Source organism: Homo sapiens, chromosome 5 (assembly GCF_000001405.40).
Source record: "Homo sapiens chromosome 5, GRCh38.p14 Primary Assembly".
Lineage (NCBI taxonomy): Eukaryota > Metazoa > Chordata > Mammalia > Primates > Hominidae > Homo > Homo sapiens.
Genome location: NC_000005.10, coordinates 115,388,745 through 115,402,339, shown reverse-complemented (window position 1 = coordinate 115,402,339; position 13,595 = coordinate 115,388,745). Strand labels below are relative to the sequence as shown.

The 13,595-nt window shown below is 42.3% G+C and overlaps 1 pseudogene, besides 1 other annotated feature; it reads left to right on the top strand.

The window, feature by feature from the left end:
• On the top strand, nt 9,899-13,316 carry CTNNA1P1 (catenin alpha 1 pseudogene 1; annotated as a pseudogene).
• Nucleotides 12,194-12,488: a silencer, noted in NCBI's record as "tiled region #9424; HepG2 Repressive non-DNase unmatched - State 13:Ctcf, and K562 Repressive non-DNase unmatched - State 13:Ctcf". NCBI's record gives its function as "represses a minimal TATA promoter and a strong SV40 promoter by Sharpr-MPRA in HepG2 and K562 cells {active_cell/tissue: HepG2 | K562}" and the evidence as "EXISTENCE:reporter gene assay evidence [ECO:0000049][PMID:27701403]".

Sequence of the window (13,595 nt, the reverse complement as noted above, 5' to 3'; positions counted from 1 at the left end):
CCTTGGCCCCTGCACAAGGCCTGAATGCACCAATGACTGGACCCTGGCCTGGCTTGCATGCTCCCCAGGCTCTGGGGCTGGGCTCTGGCTGCAGCATTGTGAGGACACACGTCCCAGAGGGCGCAACTGGCAGTAGAAGTTGATATTTTAAAATGGACACTGCAGGAGAGTAAATTCATGAGTTAAAACGTGAAGCCAAGGAATTCTCCCATGATGCAGTACAAAGAGCTGAACAAATGGTAAGTATGAAAGGAAAATTAAGAGACATAGAGTATAGATTCGAAAGTTTCACCTTTCACAAGTGGAAAATGGAGAGAATGTAGAAACACAATGTTTAAAGACATAGTTACAGAATAGACAAGAATTTCCCAGAATTTAATAGTAAGAGTTTGCAGGAATAGAAAATATATCAGTGGAACAGCATAGAACATCTAGAGGCAAATACTGGCAAAGTTGTGAGTGAATATGTATTTTCACACTCCACTGGTGAGATATAGTAGGGACAGTTACTTTGGTAGACAATTTGGTGTCAACTATTAATATTTTTATTACCTATTGATATCCTCTTTAAACAAACACTTTCACATGACAACAAGGAGGCATATATAGGATGTTAGTTGCAGCCTGATTTATAAAAGCAAAAAGTTCTTAGCAGTCTAAATGTTTACTAATAGAATAGCTAAATGAACTTTAGCCATAATGTGTAATATTATGCAACAGCTAAATAGAGAGGTAGATTGCTAGATATTGACATGAAAAGATTTCTAAGACATTGTAAATAAAAAATTGCAGAAGATTTTATACAGCATAATATAATTTATATTAAAATATATCTATAATGTGAACTGGAAAGCTGATGAAAGGTTTTGAGCAGTGTAAAGACATGATCAGATTTTTGGTTTTGAAAGACTGCTCTGTTTGTAAAAATGGAAACAAGTGGACTTGTTAGGAAGCTACTTCAGCAGACCACCAGATAAATACCCAATCAAAAAGTTAGCAATATCCCAAATTAATAACCTAACATTACACCTAGGAAAACTAGAGAAACAAGAGCAAACCAACCCCAGAGCTAGTAGAAAGAAAGAAACAAGCAAAATCAGAAAATGTAAAATGTAAAACTATAAAAATCCTGGAAGATAACCAAGGAAATAATATTCTGGACATAGGCTATGGCAAAGGTTTCATGACAAAAACATCAAAAGCAATTGTGACAAAAACAAAAATTGACAAGTGGGACCTAATTAAACTAAAGAGCTTCTGCACAGCAAAAGAAGCTATCAACATTCAGCAAAGTCTTAAGATACAAAATCATTGTGAAAAATCGCAAGCATTCCTACATAGCAATAATAGACAGAGCCAAATCGTGAGTGAACTCCCAGTCACAATTGCTACTAGAGAATAAAATAACTTACAGGGGATGTGAAGGACCTCTTCAAGGAGAAATACAAAGCACTGCTCAAGGAAATAAAAGAGGACACAAACAAATGGAAGAACATTCCATGCTCATGGATAGGAAGAATCAACATCGTGAAAATGGCGAGACTGCCCAAAGTGATCTATAGATTCAATGCTATCCCCATCAAGCTACCACTTTCTACACAGAATTGGAAAAAACTACTTTAAATTTCATATGGAACCAAAAAAGAGCCTGCATAGCCAAGACACTCCTAAGCAAAAAGAACAAAGCTGGAGGGATCACGCTACCTGACTTCAAAGCATACTACAAGGCTACAGTAACCAAAACAGCATGGTACTAGTACCAAAACAGATATATAGACCAACAGAACAGAACAGAGGCATCAGAAATAACACCACACATCTACAACCATCTGATCTTTGACAAACCTGACACAAGCAATGGGGAAAGGATTCCCTATTTAATAAATGATGTTGGGAAAACTGGCTAGCCATATGCAGAAAGTGGAAACTGGATCCCTTCCTTACACCTTATACAAAAATTAACTCAAGATGGATTAAAGACTTAAATGTAAGACCTAAAACCATAAAAACCCTAGAGGAAAACCTAGGCAATACCATTCAGGACATAGGCATGAGCAAAGACTTCATGACTAAAACACCAAAAGAAATGGCAACAAAAGCCAAAATAGAAAATGGGATCTAATTAACTAAAGAGCTTCTGCACAGCAAAAGAAACTGCCATCAGAGTGAACAGGCAACCTACAAAATGGGAGAAAATTTTTGCAATCTATCCATCTGGCAAAGGGCTAATATCCAGAATCTACAAATAACTTAAACAAATTTACAAGAAAAAACAAACAGCCCTATCAAAAATTGGGTGAAGGATATGAACAGATACTTCTCAAAAGAAGAGATTTATGCAGCCAACAAGCTTATGAAAAAATGCTCATCATCACTGGTCATTAGAGAAATGCAAATCAAAACCACAGTGAGATACCATCTCACACCGGTTAGGTTGGCGATCATTAAAAAGTCAGGAAACAACAGATGCTGGAGAGGATGTGGAGAAATAGGAATGCTTTTACACTGTTGGTGGGAGTGTAAATTAGTTCAACCATTGTGGAAGACAGTGTGGCAACTCCTCAAGGATCTAGAACTAGAAATACTATTTGACGCAGCAATCCCATTACTGGGTATATACCCAAAGGATTATAAATCATTCTAATATAAAGACACATGCACACATATGTTTATTGCAGCACTGTTTACAATAGCAAAGTCTTGGAACCAGCCCAAATGCCCATCAATGATAGACTGGATAAAGAAAATGTGGCACATATACACCATGGAATACTATGCAGCCATAAAAAAGGATGAGTTCATGTCCCTTGCAGGTACATGGATGAAACTGGAAACCATCATTCTCAGCAAGGTAACACAAGAAGAGTTACAGGAAGAGCAAAGTAACACAGTGCATGTTCTCACTCATAAGTGGGAGTTGAACAATGAGAACACATGGACACAGGGAGGGGAACATCACACAGCAGGGCCTGTCAAGGGGTGGGGGATTGGGGGAGGGATAGCATTAGGAGAAATACCTAATGTAAATGACGAGTTGATGGGCGCGGCAAACCAACATGGCACATGTATATCTATGTTAACAAACCTGCACGTTTTGCACATGTACCCCACAACTTTAGTAATAAAAAATAAAAAAAGAAGCTATCAACAGACTATACAGATAACCTACAAAATGGGATAAAATATTTGCAAACTATGCATTTGTTAAAGGTCTAATACCCAGAATCTATAAGAAACTTAAATTAATAAACACACCCATTAAAAAGTAGGCAAAGGCCATAAGCAGACACTTTTTAAAAGAAGCCATACACCGAGCCCACAAGCATATGAAAAAATGCTCAGCATCACTAATCATTGAGAAATGCAGATCAAAACCACAATGAGATACCATCTCACTCCAGTCAGAATGGCTATTACTAAGTCAAAAAATAACAGATGCTGGCATGGTTGTAGATGAAGGCAATGCTTATACACATGTAAATTAGTTCAGCCATTGTGAAATGTAGTGTGATGATTTCTCAAATAACTTAAAACAGAATTACTATTTGACCTAGCAATCCCATTACTGGATATATACCCAAAGGAAAAGAAATCATTCTATCATAAAGACACATGCATGCATGAGTTTATTGCAGCAGTATTAACAATAGCAAAGAAAAGGAATCAACCTAAATGCCCATCAACGGTAGACTGGATAAAGAAAATGTGGTATATATACACTATGGAATACTACACTGCCATTAAGAAGAACAAGATCACATCCCTTGCAGAAATATGGATGCAGCTGGAGGCCATTATCCTAAACGAACTAATGCAGGCACAGAAAAACAAATACCACATTTTCTCACATATCAGTGGGAGATAAACATTGAGTACACATGGACTCATGTGTACTTAAGGGTGGAGAGTGGGAAGAGGGAAAAGATAGAAAAACTACCTATCAGGTACCATGGTTATTACCTACATGATGAAATAACCTATACATCAGACCCCCATGACAGACAATTTACCTATAGGACAAACCTGCACAGGTATCCCTGAATCTAAAATAAAACTATAAAACAGGTACTCCTGAATCTAAAAGAAAAGAAAACTTGTCAAAAGACCAGCAGAAAAGTGAGAAAGTACTATTTTAATTTCTTCAATTATGAGTGAAATTGAACATCTTTTCATTTGTTTATGGACCATTTACATTTTATTTCTATGCCGAATTTTTAAGCTGACAATTTCCTGCTGATCACTTTCTTGAGAAAAAATGCTGGAAGTTTAGTTTACTCCACAAGCCATGAAATAGATCCTCTGTTCTGTCTTGGGTGGTCCAGTTGCACTGGCTTAATACAGATCAGGCTGTGCATCATATGGTGCTGATGCTATTGAGAGGCTGCTGAGCCACCAACCATGCATCCACTTCATTCTCTATCCATTAAGAGTCATAAAAATAAGGTGATGGGTTGCTTTCATTCTATAAGCAGGAGAGAAATCTATTTCCAGAATAAAGGTTGGGGGAGTAGAAACCCAATTTCTGTGTTTGTATTTGTAGGGGCCGAGTAGAATTTATGCTCTAACTTTCCAGATTTTTTATTGTTTCTGCTATTTGTGATCCTTAATTTAGTCATATAATTTCTGTTATTGTTATATTCAAAGCAGTTACATTGAATACGTAAGGAGATTTAAAAGGTATAGAAATTTGGCCTATATTCTCCAGCAAAGGAACAAAATGATGTTATAATTTGAACTGCTACTTTGCATAATACTAATTGCTTTGCATAATAAAGAAGCATACTATTACAATCTTTTAGCATAACTAATTATATACACAAAAAGTAATCCTGTTAAGGCCTTTCTATCTTCTTGCAATAGATTTAGACTTCTAGTATACTCAACCTTTAATTGAGATACCTAATTTGATACCAGACTCTGATCCCAGTAAATTCCAGATAGAATATGGGTGAGGAGTTGGGAGTGTTTGCTTGGCTCCAGATCTGAGTGGGAGAAGACGTGCTTTGGAAAATCTTAGTGCAGTCACAGATGATGCTGGCCTACTGGTACATGTCAGATTCTCAAAGCACATTGGCCATTTCTGGCTCCTGAGGCCACCTTGCTCCATTCTCCTTTTCCAGACCTACATCACATAAGCCATTTGAGACAAATGGCTCTGCAGCTTGTTCTTAAGAACATCTGGTAAGAGATTTTTTTCACAAAATACGTTTAAAAACTACTAGCCAACTAATATCATTTAATACATTTGACCTCATTTTGCAGAAACATCTAAGGGCAACCAAACATGACTATGGAAATTTATCAAAACTTTCTAGATATGTTCTTCATGGTAATGGAAACCAAGTGCATAGCAATAAAAGAAAAGCAGCAGGAGCTCCTCAGATTAGGCTGTTTTCTAAGGTATTACTCATCTTGTCATGAAATTTTCTATGTTAATTTGTTGCCCACCCCTTAAGGGAAAGTTAGCAGTTTAGAGCATCCAAGGAACCAGAGCTAAAAGCCACAAGAAAGATAACAAGTTTGAAAACCATTCATTCATCGAGTCAACAAACTTTAACTTGGAATTTTTCTGTGTGACTAGTTTTTCTATTGCTCCTCTGTGGAACTTGAGTAGATTTTAGGTCTCTGTGAGAGAACATTCCCGAGCCTTGGCCCCAGATTTGATGTGTTTTATTTTAGTTTTTAAACATTGTTTATTATGGAAAATTTCAAAAGATACATAAAATTAGAGAATTTATAAGCCCGTGTACCCATCATCCAGTTTTTAAAAAGATCAACATTTTGCCAATCTTATTTTATCTATCTTATATTTTTTCTGGAGTATTTTAAGTAATAACACATTTTTATTTCAATGGTTAAACATTTTAATCTGAATAACAAAAAATATATAACCAGCACATCAAATCTATAATTTCACAACGTTATTGCTTTGGACAAAACTAAACTGTAAATTTAAACTTTTAAAACTGCTACACAGATACGGCAAAGTGCAAGAAGAGAGCACACAGATGGCTACAGTTTATGAACTGTTGTTAGAGGCAACAAGAGATTAGGAGATAGTAGACATTCCCCTTCATCTTCCCTCCCACAGTGAGGTTAGGATAGTTAGAGGAGATTCCATCTTCTGCAGACAGTGCTTAGTACCATGCCTGGCACTTAATAAGTACCCATAAAATAGAAGCTAATATCATTTTTTGAAAGGCATCTTTGATTCCAGAGAACTGATACTGGCTAACATTTATTAGGCCCTTACTGTGTACATGTTAGCAGCGGGAAATTCATATGGGTCTGCAGCAACCTCAATTCTTGCCTCCTCAGAAGAAAGAATTTGATCAAGGGGCGTAAGGCAGGGGAGACTGAGGCAAGTTTTAACTCAGGAGTGAAAGTTTATTAAAAAGTTGTAGAGGCCGGGCGCGGTGGCTCACGCCTGTAATCCCAGCACTTTGGGAGGCCGAGGCGGGCGGATCATGAGGTCAGGAGATCGAGACCATCCTGGCTAACACGGTGAAACCCCGTCTCTACTAAAAATACAAAAAATTAGCCGGGCGTGGTAGCGGGCGCCTGTAGTCCCAGCTACTCGGGAGGCTGAGGCAGGAGAATGGCGTGAACCCGGGAGGCGGAGCTTGCAGTGAGCCGAGATCGCGCCACTGCGCTCCAGCCTGGGCGACAGAGCAAGACTCCGTCTCAAAAAAAAAAAAAAAAAAAAAAAAAAAAAGTTGTAGAGCAGAAACAAAAGGAAGTAAAGTACGCTTGGAAGAGGGCCAAGGGGGTGACTTGAGAGATTAAAGTGCACTGTTTGACCTTTGACTTGGGGCTTTATATGTTGGCATGCTTCCAAGGCCTGTATTACTTTTCCCCTGATTCTTCCCTTGGTATGGGCTGTCCACATGCACAGTGGCCTGCCAGAACTTGGGAGGGGCTGCATGCATAGTGTGTTTACTGAAGTTGTACACATGTTCATTTGAGGCATTTTGCCCTTACCAGTCAAGCGTTTCTAGAGGAAGGTCATACCCGTTGAACTCCACCATTTTGCTTCTTAGTGCACATGCTTGAGCCCACTTACCCAACTCCTGAGATCTTATCAGGAAACTGCTGATCACCAGTTTCAGATTTTTTCTATCTATTGGGAGACTGCCATTCCCTGGCACCAGCTGCAACCAATTATTATTTTAGTGATACAGTTTAATGACCCCCTGACCATACCCATCACCTGATGGTCACCTGACATTCCTGGTGGCCAGGGCTTGGGGGTGGTGGGGGGCTCTCCTGCCGTGTTCACATCTACCTAACTACTCCAACATATGGACACTTCAGTGGGAGATTTACATACATTATCTCCTTTCATCTTCACAAACTATGAGTAGATACTAGTTTTCCCATTTTTAGAATTAAAAAGTTGAGGCTCAGATAAATTAAGTTACTTAAGATCACAAAGCTACTAAGTGGTGAAGCTAGGACTTGAATTCAAGGCTATCTTCCTCCAAAGCTCATGTTGTTTTTCCACTGGGCTCCTCAAAAAGCCAGGGCCCACCTCCTGACCATGGGAGACAACTGGGGAAAGAACGAGACATGTAGAATTGGAGGCCTGATTCTTCTATTTGCTAATATTGTGACATGCAACATTTCACTTCCTTTTTTCTGACCCTCTGTTTCTTATGCCTCGAATGGGGGTGGTAATATTAATTATCCAATTTGCAAGCACAAAATGCAATAATGTATATGGGAATCTGGCGTTGTAGGCACTAAATAAATATTTGTACTATATTCAGACACCACCCATAAAGCATGCAATCTTGAGCAAACCCCTTTCCTCTCTGGGTCTTGGTGTCATCAGCTATAAAGAAGATGGGATCAACCTCAACATGCTAGAGTCCTGAGACCTGACTTCATTTTCCCAAAACAATGCTCTCTGTTAGCATGAAGCAGTTAAGAGCAGTCATCATCCCTACCCTAATGGCAGTTAGATGTACCTCTTCAGAAGCGGGGATTGATGGCAGTGGCCACTCCAGATGACCTGCCACTGCCATCACACTGGCTGCAGTGGGGAGGCATGGCCAAGGCTGCATGCTCCACGGATCAGGCAGGAACCCCATGCTCCTGGGTTGGGCCACAGCCTCCCAAGTTGTGGCTGCAGATCTGAGCCTCCCTGTGCTCTTGGGGGGCCAGGAGCAGGCAGGAGCCCTGCCCTTCCAGTTGCAGCTGCAGCCTCCCAAACCACCCCTGCAGACCCCAGCCTCCCACTCCATGGAATAGGCACCCAGGGTGCAGTTGCAGCCACCCAAACCATGACTGCAGACTCAGGCATCCCTGCACTCTTGGAGGCCCAGGAAAGACCCCTGCTGCCCTTGCAGGCTCAGAAGTGCCTCCTTCTGCTGCCTGGCTTCTCCTTGCTGTCAATGCCCTCTCCAATCTTGAAGCAAAGTTGGGGCAGAGCCTGGGTACCATGAACAGAAGCAGGAGGTAGACAGATTCCTAGATGGAAGGGGGCAGTTCCTGAAGGCTGGGGGTGGGGCTGCCAGTCCCCTTGACCAGAATGGGAACTGGTGTCTTTTCTGAGCTTGCTATGGTCACCCATGGAGCAATCAGCATGCACTTTCTCCTCTCTGAGGCCCATAAAATCTCCAGGAACAGCCAGAGCTGAGCAAATGATGGAATTACCAGCTGCAGAGAGGAGCTACCCTCTCTGCTGAGAGCTTCAGAGACTTGCAGAGACGGTGGGACCACCAGCTGCAGAGAGGAGCAACTCACTCCAGGACCTCCTCTCTGCTAGGAGCTGGGCAGATGTCAGGACGACCAGCTGCAGATAGGAGCTACCCTTTCCAGGGCCTCCTCTCTGCAGAAAGCAGCAAACGTCAGCACAACCAGTAGCAGAGAGGAGCTACCCTCTCCAGGGCCTTCTATTTGCTGAGAGCTGAACACTGGACAGGGTGACCTGCCTACAGAGAAGAGCTACAGAACCCACTGCGGGTCTCCTCTGAGCTGTTCTAACACTCAATAAAGCTCCTCTTAATCTTGTTTACCCTCCACTTGTCTGCATACCTCATTCTTCCTGGATGCAGGACAAGAACTCAGGCAAAGGTGCCACCAGCCACAGAGGTTTCTGGCCAGTAAATTGACACCCCAAAGATCCCATAGCACTTCTAGGGATAATATTCCAGAATTGTATTCTGATTAGACCACAATAAATATTACTGATTCTGAAGTTAATGAAAATGACTAAACTTCCATTTGGGGGAATTTTACTTATAATTACTTAATCTAGATTCCTTAGAAAGCAGAGCCTGAAAATGCTATGTTGGTACTACTGTGATAGGGAGTGTGATCCCATGAAGCAGAAGTGAGGGGAATGAGGCAGGGAAGGAGAGAGAGAAATTCAAGCAGGCATAACTGAGCTGGTCACCACTAAATACTTCTGATTGCTCTATCTTACAAGACCAGGACTTTTAAAAGCTGCATCCCAAGTCTGGAATTAAAAAAAAAAATCTATCAGTTTTCATCTCCCATTTGGGAGCATTTTGACCATGTGGTATTAATTCCTCTGTAATTATGAGTTGTGCAATTCTGGGGCCTGAGGGAGGGCCTCTGGATTCCTTGGAAGTTAACAGGGAATCCTAGGTTGGGAAGATCGAGGTTCATGGCATGGGTATGGAGCTGGGCTCTGGAAGGAGGTGCCTGGCAGAAATAAATGGAGTGGGGTGCCAAGGTGGCAGCTGGAACAAGAGACAGGTGAGGCTGAGAGGACCTGAAATTGGTATGTGATATGTTAACTTGTACCCAATCAACTTCCAGATGGAATCTGATGAGGCTTACATATACAATAAGGATGATGGTGAAAAAGGAAATAATTCATAGCAATAGCAACAACAACAAAGTACCTCAGTTTCCTTATCTTTAAAAGGGAGGAGGACAAAGCAGCGGGCGTTGGCTTCGGGCCTCCGGAATCCAGTGCTCACCCTACTCGCCGCAGAAATGACTGCTGTCCACGCAGGCCACTTAAACTTGAAGTGGGACCCCAAAAGTCTAGAGATCAGGACTCTGGCAGCTGAGAGACTTGTTACACAGGTTACAACCCTGGTAAACACCAATAGTAAGGGGCCCTCTGATAAGAAGAGAGGTCATTCTAAGAAGGTCCATGTTTTGGCTGCATCTGTTGAACAAGCAGCTGAGAATTTCTTGGAGAAGGAGGATAAAATTGTGAAGGAGAGCCAGTTTTCTCTAGGAATAGCTTTTGGCTGCTGTAGAATACGTTCGAAAACAAGGTGATTTGATGAAGACTGCTGCGGGAGAGTTCGCAGATGATCCCTGTTCTTCTGTGGAGCAAGGCAACATGGTTCAGGCAGCTTGAACTTTGCTCTCTGCTGTTACCTGCTTGCTGATTTTGGCTGAACATGGGAAATGTCTACACATTACTTATTCAGCTGAAAGTTGTGGAAGATGATATCTTGAAATTGAGGAATGCTGGCAATGAACAAGACTTAGGAATATAGTATAAAGCCCTAAAACCCGAAGTGAATAAGGTGAACATTATGGCAGTCAAAAGACAACAGGAACTGAAAGATGTTGGCCATCGTGATCAGATGGCTGCAGCTAGAGGAATCCTGCAGAAGAATGTTCTGATCTTCTATACGGCATCCCGGGCATGCCTACAGCACCCTGATGTTGCAGCCTATAAGGCCAACAGGGACCTGATATACAAGCAGCTGCAGCAGGCCATCACAGGCATTTCCAATGTAGCCCAGGCCACTGCCTCAGACGATGCCTCCCATCACCAGGGTGGAGGAGGAGTAGAACTAGCATATGTACTCAATAACTGATAAACAAATCATTGTGGACCCTTTGAGCTTCAGCAAGGAGTGCTTGAGGCCTTCCCTGGAGGAGCACCTGGAAGGCATCATTAGCGGAGCTGCCTTGATGGGCGACTCGTCCTGCAAGCATGATGACCATCGTGAGCGAATTGCGGCAGAGTGTAACACTGTCCTCCAGGTCCTGCAGGACCTGCTTTTGGAGTACATGGGCAATGCTGGATGTAAAGAAAGAAGTAATTCCCTCAATTCTGCTATAGATAAAATGACCAAGAAGACCAGGGACTTGCGTAGACAGCTCCACAAAGCTGTCATGGACCACGTTTCAGATTCTTTCCTGGAAACCAATGTTCCACTTTTGGTATTGACTTAAGCTGCGAAGAATGGAAATGAGAAACAAGGAGTATGCCAAAGTTTTCTGTGAACATGGCAACAAATTGGTTGAGGTTGCCAACTTGGCCTGTTCCATCTCAAATAATGAAGAAGGTGTAAAACTTGTTCGAATGTCTGCAAGCCAGTTAGAAGCCCTCTGTCCTCAGGTTGTCAATGCTGCATTGGCTTTAGCAAAACCACAGAGTAGACTGGCCCAAGAGAACATGGATCTTTTTAAAAGAACAATGGGAAAAACAAGTCCATGTTCTCACAGATGCTGCTGATGATATTACTTCCATTGATGACTTCTTGGCTGTCTCAGAGAATCACATTTTGGAAAATGGAACAAATGCATCATTGCTCTCCAAGAGAAAGATGTGGATGGCCTGGACTGCACAGCTAGTGCAATTCAAGGTTGGGCAGCCTGGGCCATTCACATAGTCACCTCAGAGATGGACAACTATGAGCCGGGAGTCTACACAGAGAAGGTTCTGGAAGCCACTAAGCTGCTTTCCAACACAGTCATGCCATGTTTTACTGAGCAAGCAGAAGCAGCTGTGGAAGCCCTCAGCTCAGACCCTGCCCAGCCCATGGATGAGAATGAGTTTATCAATGCCTCCTGCCTAGTATATGGTGGCATCCGGGACATCAGGAAAGCAGTGCTGATGATAAGGACCCCTGAGGACTTGGATGACTCTTACTTTGAGATGGAAGATTTCAATGTCAGAAGTAGGATGAGCATCCAGACAAAAGACAATCAGCTGATAGCTGGCCAGAGTGTCCAGGCGATCATGGCTCAGCTTCCCTAGGAGCAAAAAGCGAAGACTGCAGAACAGGTGGCCAGCTTCCAGGAAGAAAAGAGCAAGCTGGACGCTGAAGTGTCCAAATGGGACAACAGTGCCAATGACATCATTGTGCTGGCCAAGCAGATGTGCATGATTATGATGGAGGTGACTGACTTTACCTGAGGTAAAGGACCACTCAAAAATACATTAGATGTAATCAGTGCTGCAAAGAAAATTGCGGAGGCAGGATCCAGGATGGACAAGCTTGGCTGCACCATCACAGACCACTGCCCCGACTCGGCCTGCAAGCAAGGCCGGCCTGCTCGACTCAGCCTGCCCTGACTTGGCCTGCTGGCCTACCTGCACTGCATCGCCCTCTACTGCCACCTGCTCAACATCTGCAGCAAGGTCAAGGCCGAGATGCAGAATCTCGGCAGGGAGTTCATTGTCCCTGGAATGGACAGCGCTACGTCCCTGATCTGGGCAACCAAGGACTTATGAATGCTGTGGTGCAGACAATGAAGGCATCCTACGTCGCCTCTACCAAATACCAAAGGTCACAGGGTATGGCTTCCCTCAACCTTCCTGCTGTGTCATGGAAGATAGAGGCACCAGAGAAAAAGCCCTTGTTGAAGAGAGAGAAACAGGATGAGTCACAGAGCGAGATTAAATGGGCATCTCAGAAGAAGCACTTGAACCCGGTGCAGGCCCTCAGCGAGTTCAAAGCCATGGACAGCATCTAAGTCTGCCCAGGCCAGCTGCCCCCACCCCTCGGGGCTCCTGAAGATCAGTCACTGTTCATCACTCAAATGAATTTGCTAAATACAACACTGATGTAGATTCCACGGGGAAACGGGCCGACTGTGAACCAGTCCAGGTGGTGAATTTTCCAAGGACATACTTGTGTTTAAGTTGATTAAAAATGCTTTTAGAATGCAGGAGCCTACTTCTAGCTGTATTTTTATATGCTTAAATAAAAGTAAAATTCCATAACCAAAGAGAATCCCACATTAAGTTGTTAGTAATGCTCTGACCAAGCTGTTCTGTTAGTAGTGGTGGCGTTAGGATTTGAGAGAAGGGAATTTGGCTCAACTTCAGTTAAGAGGGTGTAGTCCAGATGGCTTGACAGCTTTTAAATGACCAAAGATGACCTGTGGTAAGCAATCTGGGCATCTTAGGAAGCAGTCTCTGGAGAAGGAATGTTCCCAGAAAGGTCTTTGAAGGGACAGACTCAGTAAAACATAATGTATCATGAAAAGAACTGATTACTCTCTTGATGACATGAAATGAGAATTTTAATGCATGGTTATAATTACTAATGCATGCTGCTGCAGGACATTAATAAAGTTGCTTTTTTGCGGGCACAAAAAAAAGAGGATAATAATAGGACTTGACCATAGGGTTGTTGCAGTAATAGAATGAACTTAAACATTTAATACTTGTAAATAATTTAAAATATATGCAACATATAAAAGGCACTGTATATGTTTGTTTTAAAAAATACTGCTAGTCCCATAAGCTTAGATGGTTTTGCAACTGAGCACTAAATTTATCTCTAAGCTTTCTAGCAGTTAAGGAAAAAATAAAAATATGACAGCCTTCATAATTTACATTAACTGATTGAAATGAGCCTGCT